We start from the raw sequence: 22,258 nt of genomic DNA, 5'->3' as shown, positions 1-22,258 counted from the left end.
TGTTAGAGTCATCGAAAGTTTTTAATCAGGCAAGTGGTATGATCAGTTTTTTGTTTTGTTTTGTTTTTTTTGAGACGGAGTCTGGCTATATCGCCAGGCTGGAATGCAATGGCGCGATCTCTCCTCACTGCAACCTCCGCCTCCCGGGTTCAAGCGATTCTCCTGCCTCAGCACCTCGAGTAGCTGGGACTACAGGCGCGCGCCACCACGCCCAGGTAATTTTTTGTATTTTTAGGAGAGATGGGGTTTCACCATGTTGGCGAGGGTGGTCTCATTTCTTGACCTCGTGATGCGCCCACCTCGGTCTCCCAAAGTGCTGGGATTACAGGCATGAGCCACTGTGCCCGGCCAGTATGATCAGTTTTTGCGCAGAGAGCTGGAGGGATAGAGTATCAGAATGAGGGATGATAGAAACGCAGGTTACCAGTGGCACGGAGAGTGGGCATGGAGAGAAGTGGGGGCCCTGGGGAATACTTAGAAGGCGGGATGAACAGAGCTTGGTGACTGACCAAGTGAATGACGGTGAAAGAGGATTCCAAGTTTTTTGTTCCCAAAACTGAGTGAATGGTGCTGCCTCAGGTGTCACGAGTCTGACCTCGAGGCAGTCTTCAGATGTCTGACAGTCTTTGCTTGTCTGTTCATGATTAAAAGTGGGTGGTCTTGGGCTTGTGGTGGTGATGGCTGTAAACAGCATAATGAGCTTAGTCCTGATGATCTTGGTGGCAGATGGTTTTGATAAGATGATGAGTTTGGGGAAAGTATTGCCTTTCCAATCCTGCCATTAGAAGAATGTAGGCTGAAGAAAGTGCTGTATTACTGAGAGGAGACATGACAGTATTCATCACTTCAAACACTATCTTGCCAATCTTCTCAGTGGTTTTGACCCTGGCCTCAAACCCCCACACAAAACCTCAGATCAATACAAATCTCTTCCTTATCCACTCCTACTATACATAGTTGAGGACAACTTTTCTGCTTGCACTCAGGAGATGACACTGCCTCCTACTTCAGAAAAGAAAATTAAAACTATTAGCTAGAATTTGCACAACCTCCCACTGCTTCCTCCTTCCCTCCTCCAACATCTTGATTCACTACCATTCTTACCTTCTTTTAGGTGACAAAGAGTAAGAGGAGGAACCCCATGTATATCTCCTCTTCTGGGACCTTGCACCATCAATTACTTCACTTCCATGTATCTTTGCCTCTCCATTTCTACTGGTTCTTTACTTTCAACACATACTCAAGTTATTCCCATTTTCTCTTCAAAGGAGAGGATCATATTTGCTCTCTGTAATTCCACTTCCCCCTCTCTCCCTTGAATTCACTCCATTCAGTCCTTCATGCCCACCATGCCACGAAACTGCCACTTGTCAAGGTCACCTGTGAGCTCCATGCTGCCAGTTTCAATGGCCAAAGCTTCACTCTTGCAACTTCTGTTGTTCTTGACTACTTCCTCTCTTGACATGTCTCATTCACTTTGTTGCATATCATCACTTTCTTCTGGTTTGTCTTTTATCCCTGTGACTTCACTGTTCCTTAAACATGACAAGCATGCTCTTGCCTCAGGGCTTCTTCACTAGCTATTCCCTCTGTCTGGAATGCAGAAATCTACATGACTCATACTCTCCCTTTACTCAAGACTGCTCACTTGTCACTGACTACCTATAAATTAGCTCCTTTGTTGTTGTCTTTATGACACCACAACTTCACATACGTCGCCATCTCTTTACTTTCCTATAGTTATCTTCTAGACTGTGTCTTCTCCTTATCTCCAGTTTTCATTCTGTATTTTTTTTCTTTTTAGTAAGAGGAAATAACTCTACATTCAAATTTGAGCAGGGCACTTGGTGACCTACTTAGACATGACATTCCTTGGCCTCCCTTTCAGCAAGGTAAGGCTATATCAAAAAGTTATGTCCTGTAAGATGTGAGTAGAACTGGATCATGTCCCTTAAAAGGAAAGCTGCTTGCTATACACTTTCTCTTCCCTCTTCTTGCTGTCTGGCAAATGGCAAAAAGAAATACAGACTGGAAATGGAAGCCATGTATTAAGGAAGGCAAAGCTGTTCTCACTAGCCTAAGTCCCAAACTAATCTCAGGGAGCTGGGGCACCTCCTCCCTTGGATCAACCACAGACTTCTGGACCATTATGCAAGAGAAAATAAACTTTGTTCTTTAAAAAATCATTGTTTGTTTGGACCTGGTAGAGCAGCTTAGCCAATTCCCTAATTAAAACAGAGGGGCTCTGTCTATTTTATTCTCTGCTTAATCACCAGGATGTAAAACAGTACCTAATAAATGTGGTAAATAAAAATGTATTGAATAAATCCTAAAACAACGTATTTATTCTACATCCTCCTCCAGCTAATGTCCCTTTTTCAACTTTCTTTTCCACTCAAGCTTTGTGAAAGTATATATTTTTTCATATTGCCACTAATTCTTCTAAAGCCCCTCACAGGAATAAGTGACACCTTTCTCAGTCTTTTTGGAAACTGATTCCCCTTCTCTACTAAACCAAGATCCTTGCAGGTAGCAATCTTTTAGCATGGAACTTTGGATTTCCCTTAGCACCTGTTGCATAGGTATCCAAAAAATATTTACTGAGTTGAGTGAGTGCTTTGTATCTTTGGAAACAGTAAACCGTAGCAGAGAACTTGACAGACTGGTCTGAGATTACACTAGTTGCCTTTACTAAACATGCGTTTTACAATAGATCCTAGGGCCACTGTAGTTCAGTCTCGGTATTTTGTTTGTTTTTAATTTAAGCTTTTGTATTCCTAATAGGATTTTTTTATTGTTGTTTTTTTGAGATGGAGCCTCGCTCTGTCGCCCAGGCTGGAGTGCTGTGGTGTAGTCTCAACTCACCACAATCACTGCCTCCCAGGTTCAAGTGATTCTCCTGCCTCAGCCTCCTGAGTAGCTGGGATTACAGGCATGCGCCACCATGCCTGGCTAATTTTTATATTTTCAGTAGAGATGGGATTTCACCATGTTGGCCAGGCTGGTCTCGAACTCCTGACCTCAAGTGATCTGCCTGCCTCATCCTCCCAAAGTGCTGGGATTACAGGCATGAGCCACTGCGCTTGGCCAGGATGTTCTTTTTAAGATTCTTCATTTATGTTGTGGTGATCCAGGAGAGGATTTTTGTTGTGGTTTTAAAACCAGAAGGATTGCAGTTGAAGGACAGCGAATTTCTTTCTTATTTACAGCTGCTCCTGGCAGCAATTCAGTTACTACAGTACTGGAACATTTTGTGAAGTCTGTGACTGGCTAATCCCAATTCTTTTTATTTCCACATGCACAAAATCAGTCTGTACCTGAGAGCAAGTTTTGCTTTTAGATGGAGGCTGGGCAGGTATCAAGCTGAAATGAAGCCCTGTAAACATGTGCCATGGCTTAGGTAATCTTTTCACATAGGTTGAAGATCAGAAGATCAGAGATATCTTAAAATAATGGCCTTCAAAAACTTTTCTAGAATATCCCCAAATAAATTTTTTAAATCAATGCATTTCTTCATGCATTTTGGGATTACACCTAACATTGTCAAAACAAATTTACATAGTTGTCAAGTATATGATTTGTAATATTTTTTAAATCTTTAAATTATAAGCAAAACAGGGCTGGGTGTGGTGGCTCATGCTTGTAATCCCAGCACTTTGAGAGGCCGAGGCAGGTGGATCACCTGAGGTCAGAAGTTCAGGACTAGTCTGGCCAACATGGTGAAAGCCCGTCTCTATTAAAAATACAAAAATTAGCAAGGCATGGTGGTGCGCACTTGTAGTCCCAGCTACTTGGGAGGCTGAGGCAGGAAAATCGCTTGAATGCGGGAGGCAGAGGTTGCAGTGAGTCAAGACTATGCCACTGCACTCCAGCCTGGGCAACAGAGTGAGACTCTGTCTCCAAAAAAAAAAAAAAAAAAAAAAGTTTTTGGAAAAATTTGACAAAGCATATCATGTGAATTCAGATTTACCTCAATACCAAGAATTATGTTTAAATAGGACAAGGAAGATTTTTTAAGTTTTTATTTTAAGTTTAGGGGTACATGTGCAGGTTTGCCATATAGGTAAACTCATGTTATGGGGGTTTGTTATATAGATTATTTAGTTACTCAGGGATTAAGCCTAGTACCTGTTATTTTCCCTGATTCTCTCCCTTGTCTCACCCTCCACCCCTGGTAGGCCCTAATGTCTGTTGTTTCCCTCTATGCGTCCATGTGTTCTCATCTTTTAGCTTCCGCTTATAAATGAGAACATGCGATATTTGGTTTTTTGTTCCTGCATTAGTTTGCTAAGGATAATGGCCTCCAGGTCCATCCATGTTCCTGCAGGGGACATGATCTCATTCTTTTTTACGGCTGCATAGTATTCCATGGTGTATATTTACCACATTTCTTTTAACCAGTCTACCATTGATGGCCACTTAGGTTGATTCCATGTCTTTGTTATTGTGAATAGTGCCACGACAAACAGACATGTGCATGTGTCTTTATAATAGAATGATTTATATTCTTTTGGGTATATACCCAGTAATGGGATTGCTGGGTCAAATGATAGTTCTGTTTTTAGGTCTTTGAGGAGTCGCCACACTGTTTTCCACCATGGGTGAACTAAATTATATTCTCACTAACAGTGTATAAGCATTCTTTTTTCTCTGCAACCTTGCCAGCATCTGTTATTTTTTGACTTTTCAGTAATAGTCATTCTGACTGGGGTGAGATGGTACCTCGTTGTGGTTTTGATTTGCATTTCTCTAATGATCAGTAATGTTGAGCTTTTTTTTTTCATATACTTGTTGGCCACATGTATGTCTTCTCTGGAAAAGTGTCTGTTTATGTCCTTTGCCCACTTTTTAATAGGGTTTTTGTTTTTTGCTTGTAAATTTGTTTAAGTTCCTTATAGACGCTGGATATTAGACTTCCGTCAGTTGCATAGTTTGCAAAATTTTCTCCCATTCTGCAGGTTGTCTGTTTATTATGTTGATAGTTTCTTTTGCTGCACAGAAGCTCTTTAGTTGAATTAGGTCTCATTTGTCAATGTTTGCTTTCATTGCAGTTGTGTTTGGTGTCTTTGTCATGAAATCTTTGTCTATTCCTATGTCCAGAATAGTATTGCCTAGGTTGTCTTCCAGGGGTTTTGGGTTTTACATTTAAGTCTTTAATCCACCTTGAGTTAATTTTTGTATATGATATAAGGAAGGGGTCCAGTTTCAATCTTCTGCATATAGCTAGCCAGTTATCTCAGCACCATTTATTGAATAGGGAGTCCCTTCCCCATTGCTTATTTTTGTCAGCTTTGTTGAAGATCAGATGGTTGTAAGTATGCAGCTATATTTTTGGGCTGTCTGTTCTGTTCCATTTGTCAATGTGTCTGTTTTTGTACCCATACCTTTCTGTTTTGGTTACTGTAGCCCTGTAGTATAGTTTGAAGTCAGGTAGCATGCTGCCTTCAGCTTTGCTCTTGTTGCTCAGGAGTGCTTTGGCTATTCAGGCTCTTTTTTGGTTCCATATGAATTTTAAAATAGTTTTTTTCTAGTTCTGGGAAGAATGTCATTGGTAGTTTGATAGTAATAACATTGAATCTCTAAATTGCTTTGGGCAGTATGGTCATTTTAACAATATTGATTCTTCCTATCCATGAGCAAGGAACATTTTTTTCATTTGTTTGTGTCATCTCTGATTTCTTTGAGCAGTGTTTTGTAGTTCTCCTAGGAAAGATATTTTATTCTTTTTTTTTTGGTAATTGTGAATGAGATTGTGTTTGTGATTTGGCTCTTGGCTTGACTGTTGTTGGTGTATAGAAATGCTATTGATTTTTGTACATTGATTCTGTATCCTGAGACTTTACTGAAGTCATTTATAAGCTGAAGGAACTTTTGTGTAAAGACTATGGGGTTTTCTACATATAGAATCAAGTCATCTGTAAACAGGGATAATTTGACTTCTCTTCCTATTTGGATGCCCTTTCTTTCTTTCTCTTGCCTGATTGCTGTAGCTAGGACTTGCAATACTATGTTGGATAGGAGTGGTGATGGAGGGCATCTTGTCTTGTGCTGATTTTCAAGGGGAGTGCTTCCAGCTTTTGCCCATTCGGTATCATGTTGGCTGTGGGTTTGTCATAGATGGCTCTTATTATTTTGAAGTATGTTCCTTCCATACCTAGTTTATTGAGAGTTTTTTAACATGAAGCAGTGTTGAATTTTAATGAAAGCCTTTTCTGCATCCATTGAGATAATCATGTGGTTTTTGTCTTTAGTTCCATTTATGAGACAAATCACATTTATTGATTTGCGTATGTTGAACCAACCTTGCATTGCAGAGATAAAACCTATTTTATCATGGTAGATAAGCTTTTCAATGTTCTTCTGGATTTGGTTTGCCAGTATTTTGTTGAGGATTTTTGCATCAAGGTTCATCAAGGATATTGACCTGAAGTTTTCTTTTTTTGTTGTGTCTCTATGAGGGTTTGATATCAGGATGATGCTAGCCTCATGGAATGAGTTAGAGAGGAGTTCCTCTGCCTCAGTGTTTTTTAATAGTTTCAAGTAGGAATTGTACCAGCTCTGGTAGAATTCATCTATGAGTCTGTCTGGTCCTGGGCTTTTATTTTTTTATTTTTTTAATTGGTAGTCAGCCACTGATTCCATTTCCGAGCTTGTTATTGGTCTATTCAGGGATTCAATTTCTTCCTGGCTCAGTCTTGGGAGGTTGTACGTGTCCAGGAATTTATGTTTCTTTTAGATTTTCTAGTTTATGTACATAGAGGTGTTCATAATATTCTCTGACGGTTATTTGTATTTCTGTGGAGTCAATGGTAATGCCCCTTTTATTGTTTCTGATTGTGTTTATTTGGATCTTCTCTCTTTTATTTTTATTAGTCTAGCTAGTAGTATATTCTGTTAATTTTTTTAAAAACCAAACTCCTGGATTCATTGATCTTTTGAATGTTTTTTTGTGTCTCAATCTCCTTTAGTTCATCTTTGATTTTGGTTATTTCTTGTCTTCTGTTAGCTTTGGGGTCAGTTTGGTCTTGGTTCTCTAGTTCTTTTAGTTGTAGATGTTAGGCTATTAAATTGAGATCTTTCTAACTTTTTTATGCAGGCATTTAGTGCTATAAATTTTCCTCTTAACACTGCCTTAGCTGTGTCCCAGAGATTCTGGTACATTGTATCTTTCTTCTCACTAGTTTCAAAGAACTTCTTGATTTCTGCCTTAATTTTATTATTTACCCAAAAGTCATTCAGGAGTAGGTTATTCAATTTCCATGTAACTGTATGGTTTTGAGCAAATATCTTAGTCTTTATTTCTAATTTGATTGCACTGTGGTCCAAGAGAGTGGTTGTTATGATTTCAGTTCTTTTGCATTTGCTGAGGAGAGTTTTGTGTCCAATTATGTGGTCAATTTTAGAGTATGCACCATGTGGTGATGAGAAGAATATATATTCTGTTGCTTTTGGATGCAGAGGTCTGTAGATGTCCATCAGGTCCATTTGATCTATTGGTGAGTTCAGGTCCTGAATATCTGTTAATTTTCTGCCTCAATGCTCTGTCTAATACAGTCAGTGGGATGTTGAAGTCTCCCATTATTATTGTGTGGGAGTATAAATCTCTTTGAAGGTCTCTATGGACTTGCTTTATGAATCTGGGTGCTTGTATATTGGGTGCATATATATTTAGCATAGTTAGGTCTTCTTGTTGAATTGAACCCTTTACCATTATGTAATCCCCTTCTTTATCTTTTTTGATCCTTGTTAGTTTAAAGTCTGTTTTGTCTGAAATTGAGATTGCAACCCCTGATTTTTTTCTGTTTTCCATTTGCTTGGTAGATTTTTCTCCATTTCTTAATTTTGAGCCTATGGGTATCATTGCATGTGAGATGGGTCTCTTGAAGACAGCATACCAATAGATCATGTTTCTTTACCCAACTTGCCACTTTGCCTTTTAATTGGGGAACTGAGGCCATTTACATTCAAGGCTAGTATTCGTTCCTATCCATATTCTGAATTCTGTTTCTGTCATTTCAGCCATCTCAGCCTTGTTCAGAACCCTTGCTGGAGAGGTGGTGTGGTCATTTGGAGGAAAGAAGGCACTGTGGTTTTTTGAGTTGTCAGAGTTCTTGGGTTGGTTCTTTCTCATCTCTGTGGGTTGATGTTTCTTCAATCTGTGAGGTTGCTGACCTTTGGGTGTTTTTTTCTTTCTTTCATCTAGTATGATGACCTTGAGGGTTTGGTTGTGGTATAAGATGGATTCAGTCAACTGGCTTTGTTTTTGGAAGATTTTAAGGGGCCAATGCTGAAGCTCTCAACTCTTGGACTGTGTGTTCTCTCTCTGGGGGACTTGTATCGGGCCCTGATCTTGTTGTCTGGATCCTTGAGGTTAGGAATCCACTGTATGGGGGGTTGGGGTGGGGAGCTGAGGTGGTTCGGATTGCTGTTCACTACACTAATGGGTGGTGTTAGCCAAAGCATTTTGTAGTGCAGTAACACTGGGATCCATCCTCGTTCACACATGACAGCAGCAGTGGCAGTGGAAGCATAGTGAGGTATATGCTTGTTTGCTGCAGCAGGGTACAGGTGCTGGGATGCCTGCCTCCATGTGGGCATTCATCACAGCGGCAGAGGCAGCACCGCTGGGTGGGGGTCGGGGGGTCGCTGCTGGCAACTGTGCAGTCAGGCTGGTGGTGGTGTTAGCATGGGGGTGGGGTGCTGGTGGGCACAGGTCTGTGTGTATTCTCTGTGTGCTGCAGGCTAGGGTGGTCCCTCAGGGCAGGGGAGGATCCACTGTTTTCTCTGCCTAGTTTCACTCCCAGGGCAGTGTTGGCACAAGGGCAGGGCACTGGTGGGAGTAGGGCTGGCTGGCTGGCTCTATGCCTGCCAAGGCTCCAACTGCAATGGTGGTGGTGGTGGTGGGGAGGTGGGGTGGAGTGCATTCTCACTGCAGCAGTAGCAGGGCAGGGAGCTTGCACACACTGCACTGGTGGGTAAGGAAGGCAAAACCTGCGCATGCACATGTGCTCTGGGAAAGCAATGTGGGGGCTTGCTGTGAGCCTGGGAGAAACTGCAGTGTAGAAAGGGAGCAGGCAGGCTGGTGCATGGCCATGGGGGCCACCCCTCTGGAGCTGTCTGCCAGCCAGGCATGATCTGCCAGTACAGGAGCTGTGAAGTGGGCCCCCAGGGCACCTGAGGCTGCTCTGCAACCAGGTGTGGGGAGGCTGGGGCCCTGGGAGAGGCCAGCAGACCAAGAGGTGCTCAGGTTGAACTGGCCCCATTTGAAGGGCAAGATCACCTTGCAGAGTTCAGATCTTACAGTTTCCCTAGGGCTAAAGTCTCTTATGGGAGCAAGTTGAGTCTAGGGAGATGGGCTTCCCTGGCTGTGCTCCACTAAAGATGCTCCTGCACCAAACCGTCTAGGCTCTGCCTCAGCTGATGTGCTGCCGCTACCACTTCTCTAAGCAGCCTTTCCTGCTAACTCAAGTGTCTGTGCTGGTCAAGGGGGTCTCCTCCTGCTGGGATTCCAGAGGCCCATGGCAAGAACGGGTTGCTCCTTGCCAGTTCAATTCACCTGTTCCCCTGGTGTCACTGGGGCCAGGAACGAGTCTCAGTGTGTGGTAGCCTCATGCAGGGTTCCCAGCTTCTTCCCCCTTCAGCCCAGGTTCTGTGTCTTCCCTCCATCCACTCTAGGTGACTTCCCTCTGAAGATCTGTTAGACATGCCCCAGTCATCTTGGTTCCTTGGTGGCAGCTGTTCCACCTGGCTGTGTCCAGTCAGCCATCTTGCCCTCCCTCCAGAAATTCAAAAAAAATTTCAGGTAGAAAAATAGTTTGATTGCTTTGAATTTTATGTAGCTTTAGACTTTTAAAATGTCAGAATTTATTCACTTACTAAAAGTGATTTGGAAAATTATGCCTTTGGTTTAATTATTGGTAATTACACTGTCATTCTCTTTCCCTTGTGTATTGAACTAGGTCCAGAATTCAGTTTATGTAGACTCTGAACATGTTATGAGAATCTGATTGATGTTTGTCCCCTGTATTTAAAGATTAGCATTGGATTATTTCATGTTGCATGCCTGTATCAAAAGATTTCATGTATCCCACAAATAGATACACATACTATTTAAAAGAAAAGTACACCTTTTTAAAAAAGATTTTTAAAAATAAATAAATATTAACACTGGAATATTTCAAAGTTGTCAATGTGGATTGTCTCAACCAATAACCACTGCTTGATCTATATAATTAATTTTTTTAACAAAAACTTTATGATTAAGTTATTCTTCAATTGTAGGAAATTTTACATTGTTCTATTTTTTTCTCCTTGAACTTGTATTTCCATTTCACTCTTTCCCACTGGATTATTTGTTTATTTAAGAAAAAATTATATAAATATATAGCATCTACTATGTGTCAGAGATTTTAAATATAGACTCATTTAACATACTATCTCAGGTTAGGTTTCCTGGGAACCAGATTCTAAAATGGAGACTAGGATGTAGCATATTCATTAGGGAGTATTGTTGGGATCAGCACCTAAGGATGGGAGGAGGAAGAAGGGAGATTAGGCAGAGGGGGAGATTGAGCAGCTATGCAATGCCAAAAAAGGCCTCTGCCAGCCCATGGGTAACTCTGGAGTTGGACTGGTCCTTCAGAGTTGTCCTGAGTTGGGGGCTGGGACACAGGCCTTTATACTATTCCATTTATGTGGATGTGTCATTGAATGTGAACTGTCCCTTGGAGGAGGCATGATTTTGAGTGAGGCAATTTCCTCGGGTAAGGCAGTCCCCAAAGAAAGCTGACAGCTGAGGGCTGTCTACTGGCAGCACTTCCCACAGCTGAAGGAAGAAGTCACTAATGACCAAAGGAAAATCTGGAGGCGCATCACAGGGCTCACAACATCTTCATCACAACTTTATGAGGATAACACTTTTATTTTTCCTATTTTGCAGATGAGAAAACTGAGGCACAGAGAGGTGAAATAAGGTAGGCAAGCTCATACATTTCTTAAATGGTTGCGCTAGGATACAAACCCAGACAATCTGGCGCCAGCATTGTGCTTCTAACCACTGGCTCGTGCACTCTCCAAGGGAACTGCCTTTTGATCTAATTATATGCTGTCATTAAAATAATCTTTTAAAGCAGGAGTTAGCAAACTGTTTGTAAAGAGCCAGATAGTAAATATTTCCAGCTCCTCAGGCTGTGCTGCCTTTGTCACAACTATTCGATTTTGCTCTTGTAGTGCAAAGGCAGCCATAGATAGTACATAAACAAATAGCCATGGCTCTGTGCCAACAAAACTTTATTTACAGAAACAGGTGGCAGGCTGGATTAGCTTGTTGACCCGTTTTAGGAAATTATTTAAAGATTGAGAAAGCACTACGGTTTACTGTTACAGGAATGAAATATTACTGGATGAAATAATTATACTGATCCTAGCCTTATTTTAAAAGGGTAAGTTTTAACAGATTTCTCTGTGTGGTAGGTTTAAAAGTGATCATTATTTTCTTCATTATACTTTTCTGTGTTTTCTAAATTTGAATGTAATTGTTATATGCGTTACAATATAAAAATGTTTTTAATAAGAAAAAAATGAATGTTATTTTAAGAGTATAATTGGAGGGATCAGGATGCTAAATTCCATAATAGACACATCATAATCCTATATCCACAAAGTTAAGGTACAAATAAGATTCAAGCAGCATATCAGATGCCTTATTAACTGGAGCAGTTTTAGCATGACAACTGCAACATGGGCAATCCAAACATTTCCTGCCTTGCTCATTGCTTTTTTTGTTAGTAATTTGGCGCGTTTCTTCTAACGGGCACTGAGTCACTAAAGTAGCAGCTATCAAAATTGTTCTCAAATTGGCATCGTTAGTACCAGTAAAACCACAGTCATTTTACTGCCTGATCTCTACCCCTCATTGAACAAGACTTGAGTAAATCACATTTGGGATTTTGAAACAGATGATGTGGCTACATTCTGCCAATGTCTCTGCTCCCACAGCTATTGCCCTGCTTTAGGTCTTAATTACTCCTCAGCCAGACGGTAGTCTCCCCAGTTGGCCTCTGGCTCCCTGGTTCCTGCTCATTTACTCTAATCCTTTTCCTCTGTGAGGCCAGATTGATTACTCTGAAGCATACCTGAAGCGACCCTTTACTTAGAGCCTTTCATTGGTTAACATTCCCTATAGACCAACATCCAGACTCCTCAGACTTGACTTAAATGTCCGTGTTGCAAGTCATAATGGTTGAGAGATGAGAAAAAAAGTTGTATTTTCAATGAATCAGATTAACTTTATAATTAGACCCAAAGCAGTTATATAAACAGTTTTCTGTTGGTAGTAAAATAAGAAAAAGATTTTCAGAACAAGAACTGGGAGGTAGATGTTTATTAGACTATGAAGACAACGCATTGAGGACCAGGGTCATTTTGAGAAAAAGATTAGGTCACAGAAAAATCAAAGCATATGTGATTGGCCTGAGTCAGTAATTTGGACTATTTCAGATGTACCTTACATCTGTAAGGTACACATTGTACCTTACAATGTGTAACTGGAAAACCTTCAGATGGATAACAGAGTTGACTCACATGCTCTAAATCCTGGAACATTAGCAGCTCATTTGAGAAGCTAAGCCTGACTTTCTTGGCTAAGTATAATCATAACCCAAGGAAGCAATGAAAGAGGGAAAAAACCCAGAAGCATAAAGAGAACCAGAATTAGAATCAGGACAGGCATGATGTGGACACAAATTTACTTCCAAAGTTTTAGCCTTTTAATGACTTTTATACTATTCAGTTTTATAATCATTGTTCTATTGGCATATTTTGTCCTCTCTTTGAAAAATATTTCCAAGAGTCTCCTACTTTAAACTTGAGAAGAGGGATTCAGTTTGCAACAGTGCTTAAGAGAAATCTCATTTACTAAATTAATAGATGTTAAATGTGTTGTATAAATGAGGTAAGTATATGATAATTATTTAAAGATTAGTAAATTACATGTAATGGTGAATATTTCTCTCCATGTAACATGGATAAAAACATCTGGAATTTTTTTAAAGGGTTATCAACATGAGGTTGTCCCTACCTACTGTGGCCCAACATATTTTTTCCCACTTGATTTCTTAATTCATACTAGAGCTGTCCCACTGAATTGTTCCCAATTACTTTTCCATAGCACTTTCCTTATAACGTGCTTTTGTTCCTTCCCCCCAGGCCCCCAGAATGCTCTTCTCCAAGACTTAGAAAAATCAAATGCTATCCATCCCTCAAGATACATCCCTCCAGCCCCTCCTTGAAGTCTCCTGCAGCTAGAAGTAGAAGTAGCATCTATCCCCATCTGGACTCCTTAGCACTTTGCTGTACCTGCCTTAGTCCCCATCTCTTTACACACACACACACACACACACACACACACACAGAGTATTATAATACTATTACCTATTATATTACATTATATTATTGTAGTTCTACAGGAACTACAAGGAATTCTACTGTGAATTCCTTAAGGGTGGGATACATTTTACAATCATCACTGTTTCTCTCATTAGTTGTGGAATCAAAAAAATGAGTGCACGATGAAAAATTATTCAAACACATACATGCTTTCATTCCAATTGAAAATGTAAAAATATTACTGTTAAAACAATATTAAAGGACATGTAATACAATTCAAATATTCCTACCATGCACGATTGTTTTCACTTCTTTGTGCCTCTTTCACCATTTATTTGTGTGCATACTCAGCATATTTGTTTGTGTAACAGGATGTTAAAAATAGAATTTGTTGCCTGTAGTTTTTGCTAAAGCTCTACTAGACTGGAACAGAACAATAGGTGGTAAATACTCCATTCCTCAGTGAGATGCTACCTACCTATGCAGAGCTGGAAAAGATTTTGCAACCTGAAAACCCAATCCTTTCTGAGATATAAAAGAACAGAAGAGTCTGGAAGTGATTTCTTCGGAGAAATTCATTTTCTGTGAGTCTCACTCCTAATCCCCTATGAGATATCTGGGGGTGAAGGGCAGGTGCTGTTCCACACAGAGAGCTTGATCCGTGCATCTTGGAAGAGGGAGGTAGGTAGGGAACAGGGTGGGCTGCTTTGGGACCCATGCCTTAAAACTCAGGTACTGGGGCTGGCTGGTTCTAATGGCCAAGAGGTGAGAGGTGCACCTGTGGGGAACAACCTTCACTCTCAGTTTGTCAGGATAGAGGATATGAGTCTTGCCCTGAGGATGGGATGTAGACTACAAGGGCAAGAGAGTCAGCTTAAAGAAATCTGTAGAACTATCTGCCAGGACTGAGGTGACCATAGCAGAGAGATGTTGGAGGTATTCTGTTGGGAACAAGATGGTGTGAGGTAAAGATTGTATTTGATACCTGCTGGAGAAGAGATCTTGCATTAAGGCCAGCATTAAGAGAACTTCAGATGAGAAATCCCTGGTGAAGCAGAGTCTCCAAAGAATGCATAAGAGCTCTGCAGTGAGAAAGAGATCACCTGAATACCTTCCAAAATCAAAGCGTGGCAGTGACCAGCTAAGCAGATCTTTCCTGTCTTCTACCTGGAAGGGCCTGAAACTGCAATTCATGAGTTTGGGGAAGGCAGAGAGGCACAAAGTGGGGAAATGGAAAAGTTGACTATGTCCGCTTTCCTACTGCAGTATTCCAGAGAAGAAACTTCAAGCTCAGAATATTGGCTACTACCTGTGATAAACATTTAAATTATTGGAACGAGAGAGTTTTTATAACTAAATTTGAAAGAAGCAATTTTTTTTATCAAAGACCAACCCGAAGATTCATGACCACTACCTGTGATTTCATCCATGTTGCAAGGAAAATCCTGCCCCACTTCCCCAATAGGAAGAGTGGTGGGGGAATAATAAAGTTGTTTTATGATGCATCCTGTGGACTTCTACTCGACAGAATGGTAACATTCAACTGTAATCAGGATGAGCAAGCCACTTTATTAAACTAAAATTTTAAACTTTAATAAATATAATACAAACTGAAAAATAAAAATAATTTTTCAACTCTACACAAGTATGTTAACTGCATAAACAGTGAGATGTTACACAGGGCTGAGGCCTATACTTCTTCAGTTTGTACATTAAACGTCTCCATGGAGGGTCAATTGCATCCTACCTATTCTGACAGTTATCAGGTAGCGAGAGATTTGAGGAAGAGGCGCTTTTCTAATCTGGGGTAGGAAAAGGAATGATACCATGTATCATGAGAAGTATTTGCACATAGTGTGTCAATTAAGCAAGTGCTCAGACTATTAACAACATTACTATGTGATGAATGTTTATACAGTGGATTCAAAAATAAGCTTCTTTCCAGAAAGCAGCTTAGTTTTCATTAATTATTACCAGCATCTTGGTAATTATTTATTTAATGGTTTAAAAGTTAAAGTTTCAATCTATATTTGTTTTTTTAACATCAGCCAAGGAAATACATGTCTGTTATACTGCATCTTTGGAAGTATGCAATAAGTGTAACTATTGAATCTATATTGAAGAGCCACAAGACACTGAATTTAATTGGACGAGACTATTTTATTTAGGAAGACAATCATCTCCTGTGATCAGCTTAAGGTTTTTGTTTTGTTTTATCTGGAACAAGCTAAGTTCATATTTAGAAAATAAAGTTAGTTTTTTGGGTGCATGAGTTTTAGAGTAAATTAGTAATTTAGTAAACTTTGACATTTCCACTTTGTCTCCAAACACATTTAAATTCTATCTGTCTGACTGAAGTTCTAAGGCATTCTGTGGTTACTTAGAAATGATTCCTTATATTAATGTTTACAAATGCTAAATTGTATTTGTTAAATACATGTCTTATTGCCTAAGAGTTTTCCTTTCTTATAAGTTTAATATAAATGTCTAGGAAATAAGACTCCCATTTAATAGCTTATAAAGAATGCTGATGTATCAGCAGTGGCCTTGACATTATTGGATACAAGTAAGATCTACACTGATGATTAAATCAAATTGGCTAAGATTATTCGTTCTAATAAAAGCACTGACTCCATGAAGTTTTCTTGTGGCTGAAATTAACATTCGTGTTCCTACAAGCTCTTTAAAATCTTAGTTACTGAAAATTATTCCTTTTGACCTAATTTTTTCTTTACTTTGGATGTATTTGACAAGGTAGAGGTTAGGGATTGGAGAGTATGTAAAGAATGAAATAAAATGTAGTCACTTTTAACTATATCCACATATATCCACAGGGAGATGGGGGTTAACACTGATAATTATTCTCAACATTCTTCTGGGTTTGGAGTTAATTGAGAAATACACATAGCGGTCAGAAACATAGGGATCAAAATATCAGCATAGTTTTCCATAAAGCTGAATGTGCCTTGGACCTGCAACTCAAACCAAGCTTCTAAGTACCTGTACCCATGTCTAGATTTGGAGTTTCTCATCGGGGTATTACAGTTGCAAAGGGTGTCACTCGCTGCCTTCCATCCTTGGATTCTGAATAGTAAAAGAGGAAAAGAGGAAATCACAATGCATAGGACTTTTAACATACTAACTCCACTAGTTCAAGAAAAATCAACGAATGGATGTTAGATCAATGCATGTTAGACTATCTCCCCCCATCATAACACTGAGATGGGTCAGTGTTAGGGTTGCTAGATTTAGCATACACAAAAATTATAGGCTGCCAAGTTAAATTAAGTTTCAGATAAGCAATTAGTTTTTTTCTCAGTGTAAGTATGTTCCACATGTTGCATGTGACATACTTATACTAAGTATGAGATACACCTAACTCCTCCTCCTATGGGTAGCAGTGAATTAAGGGATATAGAGATGCCTAAAATTACACACTAACAGAAGTATCATGAAAAAATGAAGGCAGAGGCATAGGGTTCCCATGACATACTTTGAGGAATTTTGCGAGTTTAAGTCATCAAAATCTTGGAAAGATAAAGTTATTTAGAAGACAATCACACAGTGCTACAATATTTAAAATAGTTGTTCATTTTACAACCATTGCTGATGAATGACTGCATACATTGCTACGGGTACTATAAAAGAAGTAGAATTTTTTAAAAAATTCCTGCCTTTAATAAAATATATATTATTTAAGTATTATTATATAACATAAAATATTCACTTCTCAGTACAAAACACAATAAGTATTGTTAGATGAATGGTACCATAAATAACGCTGGAAGAATTCAGAGCAAGGAATGATCTTTGTGGGCTGCATGCCAGTTAAGAAGCATTAAAAAGTAGAAATTTGCCCCATTTTCTATAAGTCTAGAGATAGAATGAGCTTCAAGTACAGGACAGAAAGAAATGGATGATGTCAAATGGTAACTGATGATTTGTTTATGAGTACATATACGATGTCTACTTGGGATTTCTAGGGCTATTTGGAGAGTGAGTATTTTGCAGGGGCTAAGGATTCTAGTTAGTGAAGCGGCGATCTGGTGGAAAATTAAAGTATCCATGAGAAATGCTGAAAATAAGAATTAATGAGATCTGGTGGCCTAAGGAGTAGAGTCCAAAATGGTAAATCTGTGTAACTGGCATGGTATCAACTCTGTTTTAGCTATTGCTTAATAGGTTGAAGAGTTGAAGGGTTTTCAAAGTACTTTTTATTGTGAAAATTTAAAAACATGTATATTAAGGGTAATATGACAAAAATCTGTATACCCACCACCCAGAATTTAAATGTTTCAGGGTTTTAAAAAAATTCTTCTCAGATCATTAGAAATAGAGTTGAAGTCCCCTTTGTATCCAGTCCCAGTCCTATTCCCCTTTCTCTCTCCAGTGACAACCACTGTCAGAAAACTGGTGAGTTTTCTACTATCAAAGTTTGTTATAGATTTACAACATATAGACGTATCTATTTTACAGATGTATCTGTAAAATAGCTAACATTTTGTATGTTTTAAAATGTTATAGAAAATATATCATATTTTTATATCATTACATAGCTTTCTTTTCTATTTAAAATTGTATTTTAAGGATATATAAAGATTACAAGATATATTTGTTGAATAAATAAATGTTGTTACGTCCCAAATTATTTATCCAACCTACTGATCAACATTTAGGTTGTTTCTAACATTTTATTAGAATAAACATTCTTGTCTATGTCTTTTGAACAAATGTGCTAGAATTTCTCCAGGGTATATTCCTGGAAGCGAAAAAAATACACTTTGTTATTTTTAACAAATATTGCCCAGTTGCTCTGTAATGCAGTTTTACCAAATCACCCTCCCACCACATGTCCCATTTCCCAGCATCCTTGCTAACCCTTTATTACACTCTTTAAACTTGTCAATCTAATGAGAAACATATGATATCTCAGTGCTTTTAGTTTGCATTTTCATGAATACTAATGAGAGTAAATATTTTTTCATATGATTGTTAGACATTCTTATTTCCCTTCTAAAAAACTGCCATTTCATATCCTATTTTTTTCTTTTTCTTATATATTCTGGATACTGATCCTATATATTATGAACCTGTTCTAGTGTAGTTTGTCTTTTTTTTTTTTTGACTTTGCTGCCCACCTTTTCTTTTTTTTTTTTTATTATACTTTAAGTTTTAGGGTACATGTGCACATTGTGCAGCTTAGTTACATATGTGTACATGTGCCATGCTGGTGCGCTGCACCCACTAACTCGTCATCTAGCATTAGGTATGTCTCCCAATGCTATCCCTCCCCCCTCCCCCCACCCCACCACAGTCCCCAGAGTGTGATATTCCCCTTCCTGTGTCCATGTGATCTCCTTGTTCAATTCCCACCTATGAGTGAGAATATGCGGTGTTTGGTTTTTTGTTCTTGCGATAGTTTACTGAGAATGTTGCTTTCCAATTTCATCCATGTCCCTACAAAGGACATGAACTCATCATTTTTTATGGCTGCATAGTATTCCATGGTGTATATGTGCCACATTTGCTTAATCCAGTCTATCATTGTTGGGCATTTGGGTTGGTTCCAAGTCTTTGCTATTGTGAATAATGCCGCAATAAACATACGTGTGCAGGTGTCTTTATAGCAGCATGATTTAGAGTTCTTTGGGTATATACCCAGTAATGGGATGGCTGGGTCAAATGGTATTTCTAGTTCTAGATCCCTGAGGAATCGCCACACTGACTTCCACAATGGTTGAACTAGTTTACAGTCCCACCAACAGTGTAAAAGTGTTCCTATTTCTCCACATCCTCTCCAACACCTGTTGTTTCCTGACTTTTTAATGATCGCCATTCTAACTGGTGTGAGATGGTATCTCATTGTGGTTTTGATTTGCATTTCTCTGATGGCCAGTGATGGTGAGCATTTTTTCATGTGTTTTTTGGCTGCATAAATGTCTTCTTTTGAGAAGTGTCTGTTCATGTCCTTTGCCCACTTTTTGATGGGGTTGTTTGTTTTTTTCTTGTAAATCTGTTTGAGTTCATTGTAGATTCTGGATATTAGCCCTTTGTCAGATGAGTAGGTTGTGAAAATTTTCTCCCATTTTGTAGGTTGCCTGTTCACTCTGATGGTAGTTTCTTTTGCTGTGCAGAAGCTCTTTAGTTTAATTAGATTCCATTTGTCAATTTTGGCTTTTGTTGCCATTGCTTTTGGTGTTTTAGACATGAAGTCCTTGCCCATGCCTATGTCCTGAATGGTAATGCCTAGGTTTTCTTCTAGGGTTTTTATGGTTTTAGGTCTAACATTTAAGTCTTTAATCCATCTTGAATTGATTTTTGTATAAGGTGTAAGGAAGGGATCCAGTTTCAGCTTTCTACATACGGCTAGCCAGTTTTCCCAGCACCATTTATTAAATAGGGAATCCTTTCCCCATTGCTTGTTTTTCTCAGGTTTGTTAAAGATCAGATAGTTGTAGATATGCGGCATTATTTCTGAGGGCTCTGTTCTGTTCCATTGATCTATATCTCTGTTTTGGTACCAGTACCATGCTGTTTTGGTTACTGTAGCCTTGTAGTATAGTTTGAAGTCAGGTAGTGTGATGCCTCCAGCTTTGTTCTTTTGGCTTAGGATTGACTTGGCGATGCAGGCTCTTTTTTGGTTCCATATGAACTTTAAAGTAGTTTTTTCCAGTTCTGTGAAGAAAGGCATTGGTAGCTTGATGGGGATGGCATTGAATCTGTAAATTACCTTGGGCAGTATGGCCATTTTCACGATATTGATTCTTCCTACCCATGAGCATGGAATGTTCTTCCATTTGTTTGTATCTTCTTTTATTTCCTTGAGCAGTGGTTTGTAGTTCTCCTTGAAGAGGTCCTTCACGTCCCTTGTAAGCTGGATTCCTAGGTATTTTATTCTCTTTGAAGCAATTGTGAATGGGAGTTCACTCATGATTTGGCTCTCTGTTTGTCTGTTGTTGGTGTATAAGAATGCTTGTGATTTTTGTACATTGATTTTGTATCCTGAGACTTTGCTGAAGTTGCTTATCAGCTTAAGGAGATTTTGGGCTGAGACAATGGGGTTTTCTAGATACACAATCATGTCGTCTGCAAACAGGGACAATTTGACTTCCTCCTTTCCTAATTGAATACCCTTTATTTCCTTCTCCTGCCTAATTGCCCTGGCCAGAACTTCCAACACTATGTTGAATAGGAGTGGTGAGAGAGGGCATCCCTGTCTTGTGCCAGTTTTCAAAGGGAATGCTTCCAGTTTTTGCCCATTCAGTATGATATTGGCTGTGGGTTTGTCATAGATAGCTCTTATTACTTTGAAATACGTCCCATCAATACCTAATTTATTGAGAGTTTTTAGCATGAAGTGTTGTTGAATTTTGTCAAAGGCTTTTTCTGCATCTATTGAGATAATCATGTGGTTTTTGTCTTTGGTTCTGTTTATATGCTGGATTACATTTATTGATTTGCGTATATTGAACCAGCCTTGCATCCCAGAGATGAAGCCCACTTGATCATGGTGGATAAGCTTTTTGATGTGCTGCTGGATTCGTTTTGCCAGTATTTTATTGAGGATTTTTGCATCAATGTTCATCAAGGATATTGGTCTAAAATTCTCTTTTTTGGTTGTGTCTCTGCCCGGCTTTGATATCAGAATGATGCTGGCCTCATAAAATGAGTTGGGGAGGATTCCCTCTTTTTCTATTGATTGGAATAGTTTCAGAAGGAATGGTACCAGTTCCTCCTTGTACCTCTGGTAGAATTTGGCTGTGAATCCATCTGGTCCTGGACTCTTCTTGGTTGGTAAACTATTGATCATTGCCACAATTTCAGCTCCTGTTATTGGTCTATTCAGAGATTCAACTTCTTCCTGGTTTAGTCTTGGGAGAGTGTATGTGTCGAGGAATTTATTCATTTCTGCTAGATTTTCTAGTTTATTTGCGTAGAGGTGTTTGTAGTATTCTCTGATGGTAGTTTGTATTTCTGTGGGATCGGTGGTGATATCCCCTTTATCATTTTTTATTGTGTCTATTTGATTCTTCTCTCTTTTTTTCTTTATTAGTCTTGCTAGCGGTCTATCAATTTTGTTGATCCTTTCAAAAAACCAGCTCCTGGATTCATTAATTTTTTGAAGGGTTTTTTGTGTCTCTATTTCCTTCAGTTCTGCTCTGATTTTAGTTATTTCTTGCCTTCTGCTAGCTTTTGAATGTGTTTGCTCTTGCTTTTCTAGTTCTTTTAATTGTGATGTTAGGGTGTCAATTTTGGATCTTTCCTGCTTTCTCTTGTGGGCATTTAGTGCTATAAATTTCCCTCTACACACTGCTTTGAATGCATCCCAGAGATTCTGGAATGTTGTGTCTTTGTTCTCGTTGGTTTCAAAGAACATCTTTATTTCAGCCTTCATTTCGTTATGTACCCAGTAGTCATTCAGGAGCAGGTTGTTCAGTTTCCATGTAGTTGAGCGGTTTTGAGTGAGATTCTTAATCCTGAGTTCTAGTTTGATTGCACTGTGGTCTGAGAGATAGTTTGTTATAATCTCTGTTCTTTTACTAGTTTGTCTTTTAAGTTGTTTTTGAAATTACAGAACATTTATGGATTTTTACTGTTTACAAAGCTCTTTTGATACTCACCACAACACTGTGAGAGAGGTGTTATTTTTGTTGTTGATTCGGATGCTGCTGTTGCTATCCTTATTTTTATTGGGCTCCTCCTCATAGTCTTCACTTGCGGATGTGGAAACTGTGTAAGGCTTTCAGAACTTACAGGTCCAGCGTCAAAAAGTGGCAGAACCAATTCTCAGACCTGTGTGCTGTACTCTTTTAAGAGGCAAGAGCGCACCGCACAGCCTGGAAGTTAGGTATAGTCTCTGGTGTGCTGAAGA

General features: G+C 39.2%; 1 long non-coding RNA gene across 1 annotated transcript, besides 2 other annotated features; it reads left to right on the top strand.

Moving 5' to 3' along the window:
• Positions 1–63: 63 nt before the first annotated feature.
• MIOS-DT (MIOS divergent transcript) lies at positions 64–16,025 on the top strand. The gene is made up of 5 exons (NR_110084.1): positions 64–215; positions 1,805–1,892; positions 10,940–10,973; positions 13,207–13,970; positions 14,653–16,025. It is a non-coding gene; the product is annotated as an MIOS divergent transcript (long non-coding RNA).
• Positions 8,320–8,819: an enhancer, noted in NCBI's record as "H3K4me1 hESC enhancer chr7:7596941-7597440 (GRCh37/hg19 assembly coordinates)". NCBI's record gives its function as "activates a minimal SCP1, AML or CMV promoter by ChIP-STARR-seq in primed H9 embryonic stem cells {active_cell/tissue: H9 hESC(primed)}" and the evidence as "EXISTENCE:reporter gene assay evidence [ECO:0000049][PMID:30033119]".
• Positions 8,820–9,321: an enhancer, noted in NCBI's record as "H3K4me1 hESC enhancer chr7:7596439-7596940 (GRCh37/hg19 assembly coordinates)". NCBI's record gives its function as "activates a minimal SCP1, AML or CMV promoter by ChIP-STARR-seq in primed H9 embryonic stem cells {active_cell/tissue: H9 hESC(primed)}" and the evidence as "EXISTENCE:reporter gene assay evidence [ECO:0000049][PMID:30033119]".
• Positions 16,026–22,258: the final 6,233 nt, after the last annotated feature.

The sequence above is a fragment of the Homo sapiens genome, chromosome 7, assembly GCF_000001405.40.
Source record: "Homo sapiens chromosome 7, GRCh38.p14 Primary Assembly".
NCBI classification, from domain to species: Eukaryota; Metazoa; Chordata; class Mammalia; order Primates; family Hominidae; genus Homo; species Homo sapiens.
This window is presented reverse-complemented; position numbering and strand designations above follow the sequence as displayed.